The sequence below is a fragment of the Homo sapiens genome, chromosome 1 (genome assembly GCF_000001405.40).
Source record: "Homo sapiens chromosome 1, GRCh38.p14 Primary Assembly".
Lineage (NCBI taxonomy): Eukaryota > Metazoa > Chordata > Mammalia > Primates > Hominidae > Homo > Homo sapiens.
Window position 1 is genome coordinate 222,113,653 of NC_000001.11, and position 24,603 is coordinate 222,138,255.

A 24,603-nucleotide genomic window follows, 5' to 3' on the forward strand; every position below is an offset into this window, starting at 1 on the left:
TTAACATGCATCTTGGACCTATCATGCCCAAAGCAGAACTGTTTAGTTTTGGCCCCTATATCTGTTCTTCCTACAGTTTTCCTCTTATCTCAGGAATAGAAATTCCAACCTTCAAGTTGTTCAGGTTAAACATCTTGGAGTCATCATTGATTCCTATGTCTCTCTCATCTCTTTTTTTTTTTTTTTTTTTTTTGAGATGGAGTCTCACTCTGTTGCCCAGGCTGGAGTGTAGTGGCACGATCACTCACTGCAAGCTCTGCCTCCCAGGTTCCACGTCATTCTCCTGCCTCAGCCTCCTGAGTAGCTGGGACTACAGGCGCCCACCACCACACCTGGCTAATTTTTTTTTTTTGGATTTTCAGTAAAGATGGGGTTTCACCGTGTTAGCCAGGATGGTCTTGATCTTCTGAGCTCGTGATCTGCCCGCCTCAGCCTCCCAAAGGGATTACAGGCGTGAGCCACTGTGCCCAGCCTCTCTCATCTTTAACACCCAATCCATTAACAAAACATATTGGCTCTAAAATCAAAATATATCCAAAACCTAACCACTGCTCACCACCCCAACCTCTACCATCCTGCTCCAAACCTCTGCATAGCAACAAAGTTGTTTTTGAAAAATGCAAATAGATCATATTACTCCTCTCAAAAAACACCCAGTGACTTCCCATCTCAGTTTAAAATCCTGAGTCCCTACAATGGTCTTCAAGCCCCTCATTACATCCCAAATCTCAGCACGTGCCACCCTTGCCCTTCTGCCTCTTCCCTTCATTCCACCACTGGCCTTGTGGCCCTCATATGCACCAAGCAAACTCCTGTCTCAGAGCTATTGCATTTGCTTTTCCTTCTGCCTGGACACTCTTCCCTCAACTGCCCACAAGGTTCAGTCTCTTCTTTCCAGCAGATCTCTGTTCAAATGACTTGTTCAAATGCCCTTTCCTGGTCAGTCTGAAAATAGCACTGCCTCACTCTCTATCCCCTTATCTTGCTTTATTCTTTTTTTTATCACATTCATCACCACCTGGTTATGAAATTACAGAGATGATAGCTGATGATAGATAGATAGATGATAGATAGATAGACAGATAGATAGATAGATGATAGCTGATAGATAGATAGATAAATAGATAGATAGATAGATAGATAGATAGATAGATAGATAGATAGATAGATAGATTTTATTTGCCTATTTGCTTTTATTCTCCCCCTAATATAGGCTCTTTGTCTCTTACTGCTTTATCCCCAGCAACTAGAACCGTGCATGGAATATATGTGCTCAGTAAATATTTATTTGATGAACGATGTGCTAGAAACTCTCCTTCTGACTATGCTCTTAATCACTAACCTATACTGTCTGCCAGAATTTTTTTTTATTTCTCCAAATATGTATAGCACACCTAACCAAACCTATCTCATAACCTAAACTATGTTAAATACTTAGCACAACATCTAACACGTAGTAGGGTTTTAAATATGTTAATTTTCTTCCCTTCTTCCTTCCTTTCCCTTTTTATTTTATTTTGTTTGTTTGAAACAGGGTGTTGCTCTGTCACCCAGGCTGGAGTGCAGTGGTCAGTCACTACTCACTGCATCCTTGAACGCCTGGGCTCAAGCCATCCTCCCCATCTCAGCCTCCTGAGTAGCTAGGACTACAAGTGCTTGTCACCACACACAGCTAATTTTACTTTTGGTACAGATGGGGTCTGGTCATTTTGCGCTGGCTGGTCTCAAACTCCAGGCCTCAAGCAATCCTCCTGCCTCGGCCTTCCAAAATGCTGGGATAACAGGTGTAAGCCACCATGTCCAGCCCTTCCTCCCTCCTTTTCTAATGGTGAGACAGAATGTACATCCCAATTTTCCTGGAACAGCCCTAGTTTATGCCTGTTGTCCTAGCGTAATTATTAGTAGTGCTCCTTTTTCTATCAAGCATCCTGTTTAGTGACAAATGATATGGTTATCCTAATATTGGTGCAATTGCAACCTGAGGTGTCCACTTAAGCTCATTTAGAGTTAATGGCCATGTACGGGGAAGTAATGGGTATTTTCACCAGACATCGTTCTTAGATAGAGTAACATATAATATGCGTTCTCCCTGCCTGCTTCACAGAGCATTTGTGAATAAAAGATGTAGAGATTTTAAATTGCCAATTTCTTTTGTTTTGTTTTTGTTTTTAAAGCTACTTATTTATTTTATGTGTATAAATTTATGGGACACAAGTATAATTTTGTTACAACTCAGGACTTTTAGGGAGATTTCAAATTTCTAGACACATGGAAAAGGATATTAATATTTTACAGACTAGTATGATGTGGTGGCCTTTGAGTCAAAAGACAGAGGTTGAAATCCTAGTTGTGAACTTTTCTATACTGCTGTCTAGAAAACTCATGTGACCTTATTCGTCTGTCAGCTGGGTCCATATCATTTCACCTGCTGCTCACTCCAGGTCATGGGACACACCACATTAGGTAATGTGAATGCTTTGTAAACTCACTGCAGCTTCTCAGTTCCCCAAGGAAACTTTGTTTGATGCTACCAACAAAGAAGTCTTCCAAGACTTTTTGGGAGTGTCATCCCATCCACCCCCAAACTCTGAAAGGACCCAGGTAGTGGGAGAGACAGAAAGAGGACTTGGCTTTCACATCTGGCTGAGTAAATACACAGCAGATGGAGCCCTGGGAAAGCAATGCACAGAAGGTGTTTCCTTTTGGAAAAATCTCTATTCTCCAAAGTTGTCAGGCCAACTCTCAGGAGGGTACAGGAAAAATGACAGGGGAAAAGTGTAAACAGTGTAAAACCAAGAATTCCTTGAAGAAGCGTTAGCAAAAGCAGTAGCACTATACAACACTGTTCAGCCCTCCTAGAAAGTTCTATGTTTCTGCAAGCCCCTGAATTTACGGAAAGGGGAGTTGGAAGGCTGTGGTGGAGAGAGGAGGAGACAGATGTTCTCGGGAGATCTGTGTGGATATAATAATTCCACTGTCTATCCCTCTGCTGGTGACATACAGCTGCCGTGGGGCAGCTCAGAATTGGCTGTTTACAGAAGGAACCTCCTTCATCAATGACAGTAGAGAAGGGGGCACCATGATGGGGTTATTTTCATTATAGGAAATGGGGGTGTCTGCCTGGTTGCTCTGGGGGTTGTGGGAGGAATATTCTTGTGGGCTGTCAGTTCCTGCCCCAATTGCAGTCTTCCATTACTCCTGTACCTCATGCCCCCACCCCACCACACACACTAACATAAAGAGAAAATCCAGGATATCCAGGGCTAAGGATCACCCTCTTCAAAAGTTTCCTGACTCTGAAAAAACTCTTTGGCTGAATATAGGAAAGTTTCCCTTTTCTAATGGTGAGAATAACTGTATATCCCAGTTTTCCTGGAACAGCCCTAGTTTACATCTGTTGTCCTACTGTAATTATTAGTAGTATCCCCTTTGGCTATCAGAATGTCCTGTTTAGTGAGAAATGATATGGTTATCCTAATATCAGTGCAATTGCAACCTGAGGTGTCCTTATTTAAGCTTATGCAGTGCTTTCAAATATAAAACATCTGTCTCTGGAGGGACTGGGCTTCCTCTCACTGGAAGTGTTCAAGCTGAAGATAGTCAGCCTCTTGATGTTTCTTTATGAGGAAATCTAAGGCACAAGAATACTAGTAGGATTGGGTGACGTCAAAGACCTTTCTCCTCTCCCTTGGAGTAAATGAGCTTGTTGGAGGTTATCAGTGATTCTGAGAGCTTCCATGAACATGACATGTATTGGACACTGTAACCTCCCAAAGAAGAGGCTACGATCTCTGACCTCAAGGTCAGAATCTAATAGAAAAACCCAGGACAACAACACATTTGGTAGGTCTGGAACATCAGGCATGAAGCAACAGTGATGAGAAATAATAGCCCAAATTTACAGAAAGAAAGAAAGAAAGGCCCAGAAAGGGAAAGTAATTTGCCTGAGGCCATGAATAAAGGCAGAGGGAGGGCATCTTCTAAGAATCTTTGGTAAATAAAAGGAAATTTAGTTGGACAAGATGGTATGAGACCCATCATCCCTTCCTAGCAGCCCCTCCTTCATAAGTGGTGGATTGTGAGGGTAGGAGTGACTTATGGCAAAATCCAAGTCCCTCCTGGGACTGGAGTACACTTCAGGCACTGTCTTCCTCTAAACCCCACCACTGCTGCTCCAGTGCAAGTAGGATTCTACCTTAGTTTCCCTCCTTCACCAGATCCCTGTCCCATACATTAGCCTGTTTGATGGGGGCTCTCACAGCTTTCAACAAATGCCCCTGAAGGACTAGACTCTACTCTTCTATCTATATGACATACCTCTGACTAGAATCATGCTCAGCTGTGGACTGATTAGTAGGAATTCCAAGAACGTCCCCTGTTGCCCCACAGGGTTAGTGCCTCCCTCCACTTCTCAGGGGTGTTCTTTCTCTTATTACATTGAAATCTGCCTCCTTACAATCCCGCCCATGTGCATTGGTTCTCTGTCTGCTATAAGTTTTCTAAATCCTCTTCCATGTGACATTTAAGAAAAGCTCATGTGTCCCTTCCTCTTTCTCTTACCAGCCACGGTAACCATCTCTAGTTCTTTTCACCTTTGTCATGTGATACTCTACCAAGACCCTCTCCCCCAAACACACTTGAGCTTAACAGCATTCCTCTTAAACTAGGGGCCTTGGAGAAAGAAGAATTCCCCAAGTTTGTTGTGCCTGGTAAATGGTCAAGGAGATCCACCTTGTCCCTCAGCTTATACATTCTGTGTCTAAAAGTGCAGCCCAGGTAGGTTTGCTTTGAAAAAAAAAAAGAAAGAAAAGCTTTGCTGAGATATATTCACATACCATATAATTCATCCATTTAAAAGTACCAAATTGTAAAAGTATACCCATTTAATTTGTACTAAACTCATGTTGTTTGGTATATTACTTTTTTTCCAGTTGTGCTAAAATATACATAACATACAATTTGCCATTTTAACCATTTTTAAGAATACTATTCAGTGGCATTAATTATATTCACAATGTCATGTAACCTTTATCAACATCTATTCCCCTAACTTTTTTTATCACCCCAAAGATAAATTCTATAACTATTAAGTAATAACTTCCCATTCCTTCCTCCCCCCACCCCCTGATAAATTCTACTCTACTTTCTGTTTCTATGAATTTGACTATTCTAGGTGTCTCATATAAGTGGATCATATAATATTTGTCTTTTTGTGTCTGGATTATTTCATTTGGTTAATGTTTTTAAACTTCATCCACGTAAGAGCATTCATCAGAACTTCATTTTTACTGCTGAATACTGTTACACTGTATGTATATACCACATTTTGTTTGTTCATTCATCGTTTGATGGACGCTTTGGTTGTTCCCACCTTTTGGCTATTATGAATAATGCTGCAATGAACACTGGTGCACAAGTAACTGTTTGAGTCTCTGGTTTCATTTCTTTGGGCATATATCTAGAGGTGGAATTGCTAGGTCATATGGTAATTCTGTGTTTAACTTCTTGAGGAGCTGCCAAGCTATTTCCATAAGAGCTGATTATTTTACATTCCCATCAACAATGTCTGAGGGTTCCAGTTTTTCCATATCTCACCAATGCTTGTTATTTAGCATTTTTTCAACTATAGCCATCCTTGTGAGTATAAACTGTTTTCTCATTTTCTCCTTTAAAGTTTGTAAAATCAATAGCTAAAACTATTAAACTTTTAGAATAAAACAAAGGAAAAAGATCTTTGACATTGGATTAAGCAAAATTTTTTAACCAGGACAAATACATAAACTATGAAAAAATGATAAAATGAACTCCATCAAGTTTAAAACCTTTTGCTCTTCAAATCAGAGTTTAAAAAATGAAAAGGCAATCTACAGACCAGGAGAAAACTTTTACAGGACATAATTTTAAATAGTTGTATTCAGAATACATAAAGAACTTTTACAACTCTGTAATAGGAAAACAAGCAACCCATTAAAATGTACATATGATTTGAACACTTTACAAAGAAGATATATGAATAGCCAATAAGCACATGAAGAAAGCTCAACATCACTAATCAGAAAAACAAAAATTAAAACCACTCTAAATTACCATTCCACAACCCACTAGCGTGGCTAAAGTTAAAAAGACTAATAATACCAAATATTTGCAAGGATATGAACAATTGGAGTTTTCATACATTGCTGGTGGAAATGCAAAATGCTATGGCCACTTGGAAAACAAAATGTCAGTGTCTTAATACACTTAACACACACTTACCGTATGACCCAGGAATTCACAGAAGAGAAATAAAAACATGTGTTCAAAGATGTATATGCTGATGTTCATAGCAGTATAGTTTGTAGTTGCCCTAAATTGGAAGCAACCTAAATGTTTCTCCACTGGAGAATAGATTATCTGAAGTTGTGGTATATTTATACTATAGAATACTTTTCAACAATAAAAAGGAACAAAATATTAATACACACAACAACATGGAAGAATCTCCAAACCGTTATGCTAAGTGATATAAAGCAAACACAATAAACTATGTAAGCTATGATTCCTTTTATATGAATTTCTAGAAAAGGCAAAGCTCAAGTAACAGAAGGCAAGTCAGTGGTTTCTTGGGGCCAGGCATGGAGAGAGGGATTAATTCCTAACAGACTCAAAAGAACTTCTCAGAGTGAGAGAGATAGTCTATATCTTGACTTTGCTGCTGGTTAAAAAAATGCACACAATTCCAAAATTTATCAAATATACATTTAACATAGGTGAATTTTACTGTGGGCAAGTAATACTGCTATGGACTGAATGCCTGTGACTCTCAAAATTCATATGTTGAAATCTTAACCCCTCAAGGTGACGGTATTAGGAGCTGGGGACTTTGGGAGATGATTAGATCATGGGACCCTGCCCTCATGACCTCATGGTTGTGATTAGTGCCCTTATAAAAGAGACCACAGAGGGCCTGGTGGCGGGCGGCTGTAGTCCCAGCTAGTCGGGAGGCTGAGGCAGGAGAATGGTGTGAACCCGGGAGGCGGAGCTTGCAGTGAGCCAAGATCGCACCACTGCACTCCAGCCTGGGCGACAGAGTGAGACTCCATCTCAAAAAAAAAAAAAAAAAAAAGAGACCACAGAAAGCTAGCTGCCATGTGTGGTTACCTTGAGAAGAGGTCCATCTGCAAAGGAAACAGGCCCTCATCGGACACCAAATCTGCCAGCACCTTGACCTTGGACTTCCCAGACTCAAAACTGTAGGAAATAAATTTCATTTGCTTTATAAGCTATCCAATCTATGATACTTTGTTCCTATATGTTATGTTTAATGTATCTGCCTTAGTCTTAATGTATCTGCCTTAGTCTAAACAGTCTGTATTTAAGGCATAATATATAGTAACATTAGAGTAAACATAGTAACATAAAACGCATAACAACAACAACAAAAACAGCTGGCCAAATGAATGCCAGAGAGTTGCCTTGATAGTGAAGAAACTGGAGAGGAAAGGCCAGGCTGGCCAGGGCAACCTCTATCCAGGAGTCAAATACCTAAGCCTGGGCCACATGTCCTGCTTCTTTCACCCTGGTTTTGGAAGTTAGTTTCAACCTCATCAACAACAACATTAACAGATTCTAAATCCTAAAGTATGCCAAACAATAAATCTTTTGTCTCATCTCGGTTAGTTCTTGCTTTGTGATTTTTTAAAAATTTTTAAAAATGTTTTAAAAATTCGGGCTATTCATCCTTTCTAAATGACCTGTTTACAAGTCTGTAGGTGGGATGGCTTCCATTCAGAAAATTTAATGTGTTATTATGCTATATGTTTGAAGGAGTTATCAATGGAAATGTTAGTTATGTATCAACCAAAGACACCACAGAAAGGAATAAAACACCTGCAGATATTTGTTAGTGCTGAGTAAACATTTGGTAGGATGGATATTTTGAGATCTGGACCCTAGGCCCAGTTTCACCACAGGCAGTAGTAAGCAGAGTAATAAGCAGAGAAAAAAAGAGTCTCCTACTCAAGATGAGCCCTACAGTCAATAATTCCAAAGTACATGAAGAAAATGAATATTAAGAAAAATAATTCACTCATCAATTGGAAAACAAAATCATGCCCAATTAAATAAAAAATAAAGCAATATCAAAATAATTTTAAAATAAACATTTGAAGAGGGAGATATGAATCAAGAACAAATGGGTATAAAATAGAACCAATTTTTAAATCCAGAAATTGCGAAAATGTAGTAATTAGAATTAAAGTGCAAGAGATGGTATAAACTCTAGGCTGGATACAGTCAGAAAGAGATGTAGTGAATTTGAAGATACAACTAAGGAATTTGTCCTGTATATCAAACACAGAGATAAAAGTATAAAAATGTGAAGGAAAGGGGGAACTTAATAAGCCTTGATACTAGAATGAGAGTTTTCAAAATACACCTGATGTGAATTCCAGATGGAGAGAATATGAGGAGTGGTGAGAAGCAATATTCAAAAAGACACAGGCTGAGAATTTTCCGTAACTGAAGAAAGGCAGGGGCTGGCTGATGGAAAGAACACAGTAAGCCTTTCAAAGTGCTGAGAAGAAATAACTGTGAGCCCTGAATACAACAGCCAGCTTCAAGTATTTAAGATTTAAAAGATGAAAATTAAAGACCTTGGCTTAATATTTACAAAAATATTTATCTCCGATATAATTTATTATATACTCACTTGCTAAGTAATAAAAGCATAAAAATTGTGAACTGAATATACCACAAATTCATTACAGTAGTTGATCTGGAAGGGAGAAAAACTGGACTAAGGAGAACATAGGCAACTTCGGTATTATAGATAATACTTTATTTTTAGGAAATTAAAGCATATACTGTACGACCAAATGTTACCAGGGTACATGGATTTTTACATTACTTTGAATTTTTAATTCTTTTTTTTAATAGAAAAACATTTTAAAGGAAAACACTACAGATCTGGAATAGTTTTGAGGAAAGCAGGAGAATTCATAACAAGTTCTTCCAGGACAAGGGCCTTGTCTTACCTTTGATTCCTCTGCATTTGGCAAAGTGTTTATCACACAGGAGATGCTCAAAGATTGTCTAGTAAGTGAATAAAAACCTACCTAAACACCTAATTACATGGGAAAGCCAATTAAAGCTAAAGACGAGCTTGTTCTTGGACCTATTTCTAATTCAATCATTTATTCATTCTCTCAACATGCCTCCCCAATAAATAGACTAGGTGCTGAGGTCACATAAATAAATAAGACATGGCCCCTGCTCTTACTGAACCCGTGTATAGGTAAGTCCTATTAAGTAACCTAATAGGACATACAAGGAGAGAGTGACCATAATAATTGGGTACTAAAGAGTCCAGCTCACCAGCTACATAGTTTAGTTTCCTTCTAGGAAGGTCTTTTCAAGCATTTTCCTTTTTTCTCTCAAAATTAGAATCCTATAGGATGCCAACGACTAGTAAAACTGCAAGAAATGCAAGCAGGAAAGGACATGGAAGGAGGAGATAGCCAAACCAATCAAGTTTCTCCCCTCTGAGAGTCCCATTGCTTCCCCAAAATACTGAAAGGAAACTGCAGGCAAAGAAAAAATATATTCCATTTCTTGGTCTAAAAAGTGTCATTCTGGCACCCACTGCCTTCTGGAGATAAGCTCTGCGCTGGCAAGGGACAGAATTATGCCAGGAAATTGAGGATGTGCGGGTATTTTCCCAAGCTGTATTAACACTTCTCATGCTTTGCAGAGATTAGAACTTTTATCACTGGCTCACACACATTAAAGAAATTGTATTAAGCTGTAATTTTTTAGGGCAGAATGGACCAAAATTGTTCCCTTTCTAAGGATGCTGTGAGATGACATGGCTGAATATTGACAAGGAATCCAAACCCTAAGTCAAAGCTCTCCCACTTTAAAGTGGATGCACCTTTCTCATAATGGCAAGACTCTTGAAGGAGTGGAATGGAAGAAAGACGTCACCATTTCCTTTTGATGACAGGCCTCTGGACAGAAGAGAAGCAGGGGTCACCAAGATAATGCCAACTGAAAAAGGTAGTTGCGGAAGTTAGGACAAGAGCATGCAGCTATGAGAGGTAAGAACAGGGTTAAGAGCTGTGCACAGTGGCATGTGCCTGTAGTACCACCTACTCAGGAGGCTGATGTGAGAGGATCCCTCGAACCCAGAAGTTTGAGTCCAGCATGGGCAACATAGCAAGACTCTGTCTCTTAAAAAAAAAAAGAGAGAGAGAGAGAGAGGGAAAGAGAGAAGGGGTTCAAATATCTGAGCTGGCAAGCCGTGGGGAAGGGTGGGAGTCAGAGAGAATAACAGACAAAATGTACAAAAGGCCAGACAGATGGGAGTAGGGGCAGGCACAGACCAAGAGGCTATGATGTGAGAACACCATGATTTTGATGTGGCCATTTATTGAAGGCTTGCCATTGACTACATTTCTTTCCAGTGCTTTAAATCCATGATCTCATTTATTCCTCATCATTACAGGAAGCAGCTATTATAATTCTATATTCTACAGGTAAGGAACATCCACATCACAGAAGTCAAATAGCTAGTGTGGAAGTCAGTCCCTCTAACTCCGCAGCCCATGCCATGATGTGACCCAGGCCTCCATGCTGTCCCACCCCACCCCCACCTGACAGGGAGCATCCACAATCTTGCCCAAGCAGAGGACGGTCCAGGGGCAATCAGCCTGAATCTTTGGGTTGAGACTGACAACACAACAAAGCCTTCCAGGGCAAGGACAATGTGTTGGTGTTTTCTATTTCCCCAGCACCCAGTCTGGTGGAAGGTCAGTACCCAGCTGTCATTGTAGGTGCACCCATAGAACCCTTGCTGGCAGGAGGACAGGTAAGAAAGTCTAGGCCATGGGGCTGCTGTTGGTCCAGGCTGTGGTAGAGAGCTGCCACTGCCAGTTACCCAGTCTACCCGATGGCTGGCTGCCTGACTGAACTCCTACAAATCAGAGATGTTATTTAGTGCTAAAACAAATAAAGCAGGCTTTAACTACCCGTGAAGAACAATTAGGCATTCCCAGAAGAGCACCAAGGTTTGTAATCCAACTAGAAAGTGGGGCTACCATCTGTCTTTATGATTAGCCCTTTTCCAAGCAGGAGAGAAAAGAGTCATTGCAGGGGTTGGCTCAATCCACAAGGAGGAGCTCCAACTAAATGTGGGATGGTGCAGGAGAGATACAAAGGGCAAGGTATGCCTCTGACCTCTAAAGTTCAGTCTATCAAGAGTGAGAAGGACATTAACAACCCAAGGGACCATATCAATGCCAACCAAGTTTGTATAGTTATGAGCCAGTCCAGAGCAGTAAGAGATCACTGGATCCAAGGGAAGTCAAGATCATCTCCCAAGAGAAAATGAGATTTGCAATGGGCTGTTTAGGATAAATAGGACTTTGGTGAGTAGACAGGAGGGAAGGGGTAGTCTAGATATGAGAAGCAATGGAGCCAAGGCACCCGCAGAGGGGAGCTGCAGGAGAGGAGTCTGGAAAGTTGGAAGAGTGGCTGCAGCCCAAACCTGGCCACCTTGAATGTCAGTCTGTGAAATTAGGACAGAGGTGTGTGCTAGCTATGGCCAAACTAGGCCCCAAACAAGTCCAAACACTGTCACCATCTGCATTTCTGCAGATGTTTCTGTTCTTCCACTGATAATTTGGCAATATTTCCAGGAAAAGGTAGGTGGCTTCAGAGAACTATTGGAGTCCCTAGTCCTCCAGGGATGAAAGAACCATAACCCTATAGTCAAAGGCAATCCAGTCCCTTTCCTAAGGGTTCTATGGGAGACATTAGCCACTGCGTAAAACCACGAGGGAAATTGATAAAAGGTATATTTCTAGAAATAAACTAGTAGAAGCATGTCTTTGGACAAAATGAAACAAGAAAGAAAATCCTAAGAAAGAAACTGGAAGAAAGAACTCTGGATATATAAGAAGGAAAACATTACAAATTCAAATTGCATATAAAAAGATATTGACTGCTCAAAGACAAAAGGAAAAAATGTATGACCACAATTGTGTCAAGGTTGAAACAGGCCAGGGTAAAGGTACCACTATTGCCATGAGATTAACGTTAGAAGGTAGAGGAAAATGTATTAGATTCCTGTGACTGCCATAAAAAATTACTGCAAATTTGGTGGCTTAAAACAACAGAAGTGTATTCTCTCAGGGTTCTAGAGACCAGGAGTCTGAAATCAAGGTGTCAGCAGGGCCATGCTCCCTCAGAAGCCTCGAGGGGAGACACCTTCCTTGGCTCTTCCAGCTTCTGGTAGCTCCACGCATTCCTTGGTCAGTGGCTGCATCACTGTAATCTTTGCCTCACTCTTCACCTGGCCTCCTCCACTGTGTCTGTGCCTTCTCCTCTCTGTATCTTATAAGCACATTTGTCATGGGATTTAGGGCCCACCTGCATAATTCAGGATGAGCTCATCTCAAGATCCTTAACTGAATTACATCTGTAAGGAGCCTTTTTTCCAAATGAGACCTACTCACAGGCCCCAGGGGTTAGGACATAGAAATACCTCTTTGGGAATTACCATTCAACCTACTACAGGAACAATTCACTTCCTCTATTTTGTTATCTTGGTTTAAGCTATATTGGACTTTGCACTGTTTCGTTTCCGTCAATGGATGAGAAAGACGAATGGCAAATATTTTATTGCTGGCAAGCTCCCTATAGCCAGGGCCTCCCAGGGGCCCTGGTAATATGTTGAAGATGGTTGGCCCTCTGGCTCAGAGAGATTTGTGATACCTTGTTAAGTTCATAATGTCCACTGGCATCATGGGAAGAAGCCGTTAAACCTTAAGCTTAGCTCAAAGGTTTACAACTTTGAGCTTCTTGCTCCAGTGCTCTTCTGATCCACATACCTCTTCTACTATACCAACCCAAGCCCCACAACAAATCATTACAGCCATTACCTAAAAGGGCAGAATGTGGATACATTTATATTCCCTGCAATGGATTTCATTTAAAGCTGGTATTCTCAAAAGGCCATTTTTAAACTCTCATCATCTGCAGTGATCTTCAAATGCCAGTCTACAGAGCAGTGCTGATGTGCCTTCCTAAGAATCACCTGAAGAGCTTGCTAAAAATATGGATTCCCAAGTCCACTGGAGATTTTTAGTTAATACATGGAGTGAAGCCCATGACTTTTTATTTCAATGAACTTCTCAGCTAACTCTGATGGGTACAATGAGGTCAAAATGTTCTGGCAGTATACAGATGTTTCTATCAATTAAATATAAAAATTATGTAAATCCTGTGAAACAAATGGCCCTAGGCTTCCTGGACCTCCAGACCCAGGCAATCTGACCCTTTGCTACCTCAGTCACCACAGTCCTCCCACTCTCCCCCTTACTTGCCACATGCAGCCACACTGGCCTGCTTGTTCTACTCCAAACACTTCCTCCCCGGGCCTTCAGCCTTGCTGCTCCTTCTGCCAAGGACACTCCTCCCCGGCCATCTGAATGTCCCTCACCTATTTCAGATCTCCCCTCCAATGTCACCTTATGAGGGACCCTTTCTCTAGCTACTTTATATGCCAATATGCACACACACTAATGCACACTCACCACTCTCTAGCCCATTATCCTGCTCTATTCTTCACAGCAATCATTAGTAATTAATAATTACTAACAATTAATACGTAATTAATAATTAATCACTTTATAGGTGTATTTATTGATTTTTTTCTGTCTCACAAGAATGTGAGCTCCTGGAGAGCCAAGGTATTGTTTATTTGTTTGCTTGTTTTCTTGGTTCTATTCACACTGTTCTTCTTCTCAGAACAGTGCCTACAGGGTGTTGTGCATTCAATAAACATTTGATGAATTCATGAATAGAAAAAAAAATCTCTGTCTATCACAAGGGGTCAATATGGAGCACAGCTTTTTAAAATACCTTCAGAGATTTAAGATAAGGACATAAAATGTCAGAGAAGGTTTCCAGCTTTAAAAAAAAAAAAGGCAGGGGGTAGAGACAAGATAATCCTCTGTTTATTTAAGCTTGAGCTTCCTCAATTCTAGTTGGGTCTTTAAAGCTTTATCAGCAGGGTGAAATGAAAGGAACTCAGCTTTGAGATTCTGGAATCCCTTGGCACATCCCAGGAAAGACTGCTGTTCCTAGAAGGAGAGACAGGAATGAGAATGAGAGAAGTGAACAAGGCAAATGTGTTCATCTCCCCAAACTGTCCTCTCTCCTTTTCTGAATCACCCAGATCCTACAGGGAAGGAGGCAGATGTATTCAGCCTTAGTTCTGGTGGCCAGTGCTGAGCCACCGAGGCTGGAGGAAGATCTGGCCTTTCAAAACACAGACAGGAATACAAAAAGCAACACTCAGGGATGATGCACAGAGACTAAAGAGACCCACAGATGGAATAGGCATTACTCAAAGGCGCTGGACAGAGAGCCAAGGCCAGGATCCGGGCTACACAAATAAAGGAATGTCAAGACAGCAAGCAGTTAAACAGTATAGGGATAAGTAAGAGTCAAAAAGCTACCAGGGGTACCAAGTAGAGGCAAAAACTTTTCATAAGGTGGTAGGGAGTTAAAGCACTGAGCAATTTTTGGCAATGTTGTTCATTACAATGGAGACCTAACATACTGGCAGCCATCAAGAGGCTGCTATGATAATCTCACTTAGAGAAAAGTATGTTTGGAAAGAAAAGTGGAAATGAAAGGGAGAAGTTTGAAAAAGTTTTAATCATTAAGATTTCAACTATACTTAGATGCACTATGAAGTATTTTCTTCTGTAATAGCAATCACATCCCTATAGCAAAATATATATGCGTGCGTGCGTGTGTGCGTGTGTGTGTGTGTGTGTGTGTGTGTGTGTTTTCTGGACTTCTCTGGCAACCTGCAACCTGTTAAATGTCTACTGCCTGACACCTTGAAACTGCTTTTTTAAAAGGTAGTTGTAACTAGAAAAAAATGTTTTGTTTGTTTTTGGTTTTTTTTGCAACAATTTAATAATTTATTACATTACAGTAGCATCACAGCAGCATTCAATAATGCCACTTTAGGCAAAAGTCTTTCAGTATTTCCATTATAGATTCTGTTTACAATAATTCATAAATTGGTAAAAGTCATTCTAAGAAAACTTGGCAAATGAAGCTTTGGAGTGGAATTCGCATTTCTTTCTCTACTTTTAAAAAGTTTCTTGACACTGATCTTGGCAAAGATTTTCTTAGATATGACCTCAAAAGCACAAGCAACAAAAGCGAAAATAGACAAATGGAATAGCACCAAACTAAAAATCTTCTGCATAGCAAAGAAAACAATCAACAGAGCGAATACATAGCTTATAGAATAGAAGAAAATATTTGCAATTTATATGTCTGATAAGGGGCTAATATCCAAAATATATAAGGAGTTCAAATAACTCAATAGCAAGAAAACAATAATCCAACTTAAAAATGGGCAAAGGACCTAAATAGACATTGCTCAAAAAAAGAGATAACAATGGCCAATAGGTATATGAAAAAAATGCCCAATACCACTAATCAACAGGGAAATGCAAGTTAAACCATAATAAGATGTGGTTTTGTCACCTCATATCTGTTAGAAAAGCTTTCATCAAAAAGGCAAAAGATAACAAGTGTTGGCAAGGATGTGGAGAAAGAGAAAACCTCACACATTGTTGGTGGGATTGCAAATTAGCACAGCCCTTACATAAAGCAGTATGAATTCAGGTCTATCAAAAAATTCTAAATAGAACTATCATATGATCTAGCAATTCCCCTTTTTGTATAGATCCAAAGGAAATGAAATCAGTATGTTAAAGATGTCTGCACTCCCATGTTCACTGCAATGTTATTCACAGTAGCCAACATATGGAATCAACTTAAATGTCCATCAACAATTGAATGGATTAAAAATAATCTGGTTCTCTATATATACAAAATGAAATACTCTTCAGCCTTTAAAAAGGAGGAAATTCTGCCATTTTCAACAACATGGATGGACAAGTAGGACATGATAGTGAAGGAAATAAGCCAGACACAGAAAGAAAAGTGGTGCATGATCTCACTTATCTGTAAAAGTTGAAAAAGTCAAACTCATTGAAGTAAAGGGTAGAATGGTGGTTTCCAGGGGTTGCAGGTGGAGACAGGATGGGAGATGTTTGCTGGTCAAAAGATACAAAGTTTTAGTTGGATAGCAGGAACATATTCTGGAGATATACTGTACTGCATGGTGACTATAGCTAATGATAGTGTAGTGGGTACTTAAAAATTCCTTAAGGAATACATTTTAATTGTTCTCACCCCCCAAAATTGATAAGTATTAAGGCGATGAACATGTTAATTAGCCTCATTTAATTATTCCAAAATGTATCCACACATCAAAACATGTTGATACCATAAATACATACAATTTCTATTTGTTAATTTAAAATGACTAAAGTGTAATATGTAACTAAAAACAAATATAATTTTTTAAAAGGTAGTTAGTCATTCTATTTATTCATTCAGTGTTTCCTAAATGTCAGACAAACGTGTTTTGCCTAGAGATCACACAGGAAGAAAGTTTAATGAAAACGGAAGTCATCACAAAGTATTATTTAGTCAAGAGCTTAACCATTGAAATTTTACAATTTATTCACCAGCTGAAAAGAATTATTCTGGGCCTCCCCTCACAGATATGACCTGGCAGTGTGTGGAGAACTGATTAGGAAAAGGTGCTATGGCTTCGATATGATTTGTCTGTCTCCACCAAAACTCATGTTGAAATTTGAGCACCATATGGTGGTGGTAGTGGGAGATGGGGCCAAGTGGGAGGCGTTTGAGTTATGATGGCAGATCCCTCAGGAATGGCCTAGTGCTTTTCTCACAGTAGTGAGTGAGTTCTCGATCTCCCAAGACTGGATTAGCTCTCGCAAGCAAGGATTAGTTCCTGCAAGTGTGGATTGTTACAAAGCTGCCACGGCCCCCAGATTTCCCTCTCTTCACATGTCTTTTTCACATTCTCCACTATGTAGTGAGCCATAAGCCAGGGCCATGCCCTTGAATTTCTCAGCCTTCAAAACCATGATCTAAATAAATCTCTTTTTCTTTTTCTTTTCTTTTTTTTTTTGGTTACTTTTAAGTTCGGAGTACATGTGAAGGTTTGTTACACAGGTAAACTTATCTCATGGGGGTTTGTTGAACAGATTATTTTATCACCCAGGTATTAAGCCCAGTTAATACTTGGGCTTAATAGTTATCTTTCCTGATCTCTCTCCTCCCACCCTCTACCCTCTGATAGGCCCCAGTGTGTGTCATTCCAGATATTCTTTTATAGCAATACAAAATGGACTAAAACAGAAGGATAAACTCTAAGTGGAATATCACTAAGATAATAATGTTTCCTTCACTCTCTTCATGATGCTGGCAGAGAAGTTAGAAGTGTCTGTTTCTGGCAGCATGGCAGATAAGATGCCTCAAATGATTCTCTCAATAAAAACAATAAAAATGCACTTTAGAAACACATTGCTAAGCTTACAGTACTAGTAAGAAAAATTGAGCAAACACATAAGGAGGTAAGTGAGCAGTAGGGTCATCTTTTGTCCTTACTATCTTTGCTAAAATATAGAGCCTTTGAGCTTCTGCTTGGAGAACTATAGAGAGAGAAGTGGGAATAGAATATAAGCCTAGAGGCTGATGAAGAGGGAAGTTTAATGGGAGGGCCAAAAAAGAGGGGGCATAATTTCAAAGCGTTATCCTTGAGTGTAAAGGTTAATGAGCAATAAAGTTGGCATGCAAATAAGAGACACATCTGTTTTAAAACTAGCATTGGGTAGAAAAAGAAAAAAAAAGTCTTACCTAGGAATTTATAAACAAAAAGTTTCTTAATGTCTTTCTATCCAAAGTCATGCATTATATGTTATTCAAAAAACTTCTAGTGAAATTTAATTCAAAGTGCCCTGGGAGAGAAGGGAGTGCAGGGATATGTCTAAAGCAGTTGTAATTTTTCTCCTGAGGAATAACCTCTAATCCAGGCCTCAAAAAATAGCCACAGGTGAAATTCCAAAAGAAGATAAATATCATATGGTCAAAACACACAAGGAAATAAGGCCCGGGGTTGATACCCAACAGAAAAAATAATCAGCACAGTCAAACTACCAAAACTTTTTTAATTGGGCATAACTAGACATAGAGTACAAAATAATTGTGTTTAATATTTTTAATTAAATGGTCCTTTTAAAATAGGGGCAATAAACAGATACTATATAGAACAATGAAGCAAATTTGAAAGGAAACCAAAAGTGTCAAGAAATAAAAATATATTAATCTGTTACTAAAAACCTATTAGATAGACTAGATCTGAGATTTTTCACAGTTAAAGACAGAATTGGTGAACTGGAAGAGAGATTGAAAAATATTCCTCATAATGTAGAACAGAGAGAAAAGAAGATGAAGAATATGAAGAAGATATATAAAGAACTGAGTGATAAAGTCTACTAAAGTCTAATTGGAGCTTCCAAAGACATGAATACAGAAGATACTGAGTAGAAGGCAACATTCAAATGGATAATGACCAAGACTGTTAAAGGATATCAATTCTTAGATTCAGGAAGTCTAACTTTCCCAGAGTTCTGTAAATTTACAATAAAAAAAAACTTCAGAACATTAGAGGAAAAAATTTATAAAAGCATCCTGAGAGAAAAGACAGATCACTTACAAAAGAGTAACAATTAGACTAATAAGACTTGTCAATTGCAATTTAAAAAATCAATAGCTTCAAAGTACTGAAAGAATATAACTGCTAACCAAATGCATATGCATGGAAGACTGATTTTTCAAGAAGCACAAAATTAAGTCATTTAGAGAAAAAATTAGAGAATTTATAACCAATAGAACATCAGTAAAATAAATGTTAAAGGATGTATTTCAGATAGAAGGCAAACTATCTATATGGAAGCTATGTGATGTAAAAATGGATAGTAAGTAAAAATATTGGTAAATAAGTGGTTTATCCTAAAAATTAACTATATTAAACAAAATAATAAGGTCTAATGTGAAAAGTTAACAAAATAGGAACCAAACTAAAGTACTGAGCTAGAAAAACAAATATATTGATAGGAAGCTATCAGCATGAAAATGTCTTGTGTATCACAAGGTAAGTAAAGATAAGCTCAGATTCTGTTAAGCATATATTTTAAAATGGCTAGAGTAACCATTAAAAAAACATAGCATGGCATATGTAACTTCAAAATATAAAGAAGGAAAAACAGTAAGAAAAAATATCTAGATTGATTTAAAGACAGATTTCAATTGATCTAAAGAAAGGCAAGAAGGAAGGCTGGTGATGAGAGACCAAAAAAAGTGGGATAAGAAGAAAGCACAAAATAAAATGGTACATATAAATCCATATATACTAATACATTAATTATAAAGGAACTAAATTCTCAAGTTATAAGAACAATACAGGCATACCTCAGAGATATTGCAGATTATATCCAGACCATCACAATAAAGCAAATATTGCAATAAAGCAAGTCACGTGAACATTTTGGTTTCCTAGCACATATAAAAGTTATATTTATACTGTACTATAGTCTACTAAGTATCTAATAGCATTATATAAACAAAGTACATATCTTTAATTTTTAGAATACTTTTTTGATTAAAAAATTGCAAACAATCATCTGAGCCTTCAGTGAGTCATAATCTTCTTTGCTGGTGGAGGGTCTTGCCTTGATATCAATGGTTACTGACTGATCAGGATGGTGGTTGATGAAGGTTGGAGTGACTGTAGCAATTTCTTAAAAGAAGATGATGAAGTTTGCTACATTGGCTCATTCTTCCCTTCACTAAAGATTTCTCTGTAGCATGCAATGCTGATTGACAATGCTGATTGAGAGCATTTTATCTACAGTAGAAATTCTTTCCAATTGGAGTCAATCCTCTCAAACCCTGCTGCTGCTTTATCAGCTAAGTTTACATAATATTCAAATCTTTTGTTGTCATTTCAACAATATTCACAGCATCTTCACCAGGAGTAGATTCTATCTCAAGAAACCACTTTCTTTACTCATCCATAAGAAGCAACTTCTCATTCAAGTTTTACCATGAGATTGCAGCAATTCAGTCACATCTTCAGACTCCACTTCTGATTCTAGCTTTCTTGCTATTTCCACCATGTCTATAGTTACTTCATTCACTGAAGTTTTTAATTCCTCAAATTTGTGCATGACAGTTGGAATCAGCTTCTTCCAAACTCCTGTTAATGTTGATAATTTGACCTCCGCCCATGAATAAAAAATGTTCTTAATAGCATTTAGAATGGTAAATCCTTTCCAGAATGTTTTCAATTGACTTGGCAGATGCATCAGAGGAATCATTATCTATGGCACTGATAGCCTTACAAAACGTATTTCTTAAATAATAAGACTTGAAAGTCAAAATTACTCCTTGACCATGGGCTGCAGAATGGATGTTGTGTTAGTGGGCATGAAAACGATATTTATCTCCTTGTACATCTCCATCAGAGCTCTTGGGGGATGAGGTGCATTGTTGAGCAGTAATATTTTGAAAGAAATCTTTTTTTCTGAGCAGTAGGTCTCAACAGCAGGCTTAAAATATTCAGTAAATCATACTGTAAACAGATATACTGTCATTAGGCTTTGTTGTTCCATTTAGAGAACACAGGAATAGTAGATGTAGCATAATTCTTAAATGTCCTGCGATTTTTTGAATGGTAAATGAGCACTGACTTCATTAGAAGTCATCGGCTGCATTAGCCCCTAACAAGAGAGTCATCCTATCCTTTGAAACTTTGAGGCCAGGCATTGGCATCTCCTCTTTAGTTATAAAAGTCCAGGATGTCATTGTCTCCCAATATAAGGCTATTTCATCCACATTGAAAAAAAAAAAATCTGTTGTTTAGTGTAGCCACCTTCATCAATTATCTTATTTAGACCTTCTGAAATACACTTGCAGCACCGTCCCCATCAGCACTTGTTGCTTTACCTTGCACTTTTGTAATCAAGATGGTTTCTTTCCTTAAACTTCATAAACCATCCTCTGATAGCTTCACATTTTTCTTCTGCAACTTCTTCTCTCTCAGCCTTCATAAAATTTAAGCAAGTTAGAGCCTTGCTCTGGAGTAGGTTTCGGCTTAAGGGAATATTGTGGCTGATTTCATCTTCTATAGACCACTAAAACTTTCTCCATATCAGCAACAAGGTTGTTTCACTTTCTTATCATCTGTGTATTCACTGGAGTAGCACTTCAATTTCCTTCAAGAACCTTTTCCAATTTTGTTGATCTTTTCAAAAAAACCAGCTCCTGGATTCATTGATTTTTTTTTGAAGGGTTTTTTGTGTCTCTCCCTCCTTCAGTTCTGGTTTGATCTTAGTTATTTCTTGCCTTCTGCTAGCTTTTGAATGTGCTTGCTCTTGCTTCTCTAGTTGTTTTAATTGTGATGTTAGAGTGTCAATTTTAGATCTTTCCTGTTTTCTCTTGTGGGCATTTAGTGCTATAAATTTCCCTCTACACACTGCTTTAAATGTGTCCCAGAGATTCTGGTATGTTGTGTCTTTGTTCTCATTGGTTTCAAAGAACATCTTTATTTCTGCCTTCATTTCGTTATGTACCCAGTAGTCATTCAGGAGCAGGTTGTTCAGTTTCCATGTAATTGAGTGGTTTTGAGTGAGTTTCTTAATCCTGAGTTGCAATCTACCCAAATGACAAAGGGCTAATATCCAGAATCTACAAAGAACTTAAAAAAATTTACAAGAAAAAATCAAACAACCTCATCAAAAAGTGGGCAAAGGATAGGCACTTCTCAAAAGAAGACATTTATGCAGCCAAAAGACACATGAAAAAATGCTCATCATCACTGGCCATCAGAGAAATGCAAATCAAAACCACAATGAGATACCATCTCACACCAGTTAGAATGGCAATCATTAAAAAGTCAGGAAACAATGGATGCTGGAGAGGATGTGGAGAAACAGGAACACTTTTATACTGTTGGTGGGAGTGTAAATTAGTTCAACCATTGTGGAAGACAGTGTGGTGATTCCTCGAGGATCTAGAACTAGAAATACCATTTGACCCAGCCATCTCATTACTGGACATATACCCAGAGGATTATAAATCATGCTGCTATAAAGACACATGCACATGTATGTTTATTGTGGCACTATTCACAATAGAAAAGACTTGTAACCAACCCAAATGTCCATCAATGATAGACTGGATTAAGAAAATGTGGCACATGTACACCACGGAATACTATGCAGCCATAAAAAAGGATGAGTTCATGTCCTTTGTAGGGACATGGATGAAGCTGGAAACCATCATTCTGAGCAAACTATCGCAAGGACAGAAAACCAAACACTGCATGTTCTCACTCATAGGTGGGAATTGAACAATGAGAACACTTGGACACAGAGTGGGGAGCATCACACACTGGGGCCTGTCGTGGGGTTGGGGGAGTGGGGAGGGATAGCATTAGGAGATATACCTAATGTAAATGATGAGTTAATGGGTGCAGCACACCAACATGGCACATGTATACATATGTAACAAACCTGCACATTGTGCATATGTACCCTAGAACTTAAAGTATATATATAAAAAAAAGAATCTTTTCTTTGCATTTACAACTAGGCTAACCGTTTGGCACAAGAGGCCTAGCTTTTGGCCTATCTCAACTCTGAATATGCCTTCCTCACTAAGTTTAATCATTTCTAACTTTTGATTTAAAGTTACTGAGGTGCAACTCTTCCTTTCATTTGAATACTTAGAGGCCATTGTAGGGTTATTAATTGACCTAATTTCAATATGTTGTATCTCAGGAAATAGGCCCAAGAAGGAGAGAGATGAGCGAACAGCCAGTTGTGGAACAGTCAGAATTCACACAACATTTATTAAGTTCACCATCTTATATGGGCAAGGTTCATGATGCTCTAAAACAATGACAATAGTAACATCTAAGATCAGTGATCACAGATACCCATAACAGATATAATAATAATGAAAAAGTTTGGAATATTGGAAGAGCTACCAACATGTGGCAAGAGACAAGTGAGCACATACTGCTGGGGAAAAGGTACCAAGAGACTTATCACTGCAGAATTGCCACAAACCTTCAATTTGTAAAACAAGCAATATTTGAGAAGTGCAATATATCAACATAAAATAAAATGAGACACCCCTGTATTGTTAAACTGTATAAAAAATAAATAGAGACCAACCAAAAACAGAAGGACAGAGAAAATTTGAAAGGACAGAAAAAGATATATTAGGATTATTGTGACCTAAAGGAAGTCGGGGAGCTAATGTCTTTAAGACAGAAAGCATCATTGTTACAAACCAGGTTACTTCAAAATGAATTAAAAATTCTAGTCATAAAAAGGGATTTAACATTACTCCTCCCCTTCTCCAAAGCAGGCCACTCCCAAACAAGTTTTTCAGGCTAAACACTATTAAATTTTGCCTCAGTTAACTGAGTCAATTATTTGAGTTTATGTTGGCACAGACTACACTAACTGTCTTTTTAAATAAATTGCTTTTTAAATAAGCTACTTTTAATGGTTAGTTTTATGTAATCTTAATACAAATGGAAAATGCTCTTCTAGTGGAGAAAATAAGCATAGCCTGTTTCTTCTACTAACCTGTTTCTTTCTTGAGAGGCTAAAAACTGCTTTCAGATAAGAAATCTTCTAGTTACTGAATTGCTGTGATACAAAAAAATTAGCATTTCAAGCTGATAATGTCTTCAGTCAGACAAAAAGAAGCATTATTTACATATAAAATATTAAAAATTCTATGCATTTTTACAAGTATATATGAGGAAAAGAAAAAGTCAAATTCACCAGCACTCAAGAGAACAATTAGATCCAGAGAAATCAGTACAGTATAATCTTCTTTTGTATAGCAGAATGGATGAAGCAGAAGAAAGAATTAGTGAGCTTGAAAACTGGCTATTTAAAGATATACAGTCAGAGGAGGCAAAAGAAAGAGGATAAAAAAATGAAGCATGCCTACAAGATGTAGGAAACGGCTTCAATGGAGCAAATCTAAGAGATATTGGTCTTAAAGAGAAGGTAGAGAGAGAGAGATGGGTAGAAAGTTTATTCAAAGGGATAATAACAGAGAACATTCCAAACCTAGAAAAAAATATCAATATACAAGTACAAAAAGGTTATAGAACACCACACAGACATAAACCAAAGAAGACTACATCAAGGCATTTAATAATCAAATTCCCAAAGATCAAGGATAAAGAAAAGATCCTAAAAGCAGCAAGAGAAAACAAACAAATAACTTATAATGGAGCTCCAACACAGCTGGCAGCGGACTTTTCAATGGAAATCTTACAGGCCAGGAGAGAGTCACATGACATATTTAAAAAGCTAAAGAAAAAAAAAAGTGCCCTAGAATAGCATATCTGCTGTATATATATATACATATATACACACACATATATATACATATATACATATATGTATACATATACACATATACGTATATATATACATATATACACATATACGTATATATATACGTATACATACATATGTATATGTATACGTATACACACATATGTATATGTATACGTATACACACATATACGTATATATGTATACGTATACACACATATACGTATAT

General features: G+C 38.2%; 1 long non-coding RNA gene across 1 annotated transcript in view; it reads right to left on the reverse strand.

Moving 5' to 3' along the window:
- Nucleotides 1-7,230, reverse strand: part of LOC124904518 (uncharacterized) — a 33,654-nt gene extending 26,424 nt beyond the window's left edge. The window contains exon 1 of the long non-coding RNA XR_007066886.1: nt 7,141-7,230. This is a non-coding gene — a long non-coding RNA (uncharacterized LOC124904518). The remainder of the gene's footprint in view (nt 1-7,140) is intronic.
- Nucleotides 7,231-24,603: the final 17,373 nt, after the last annotated feature.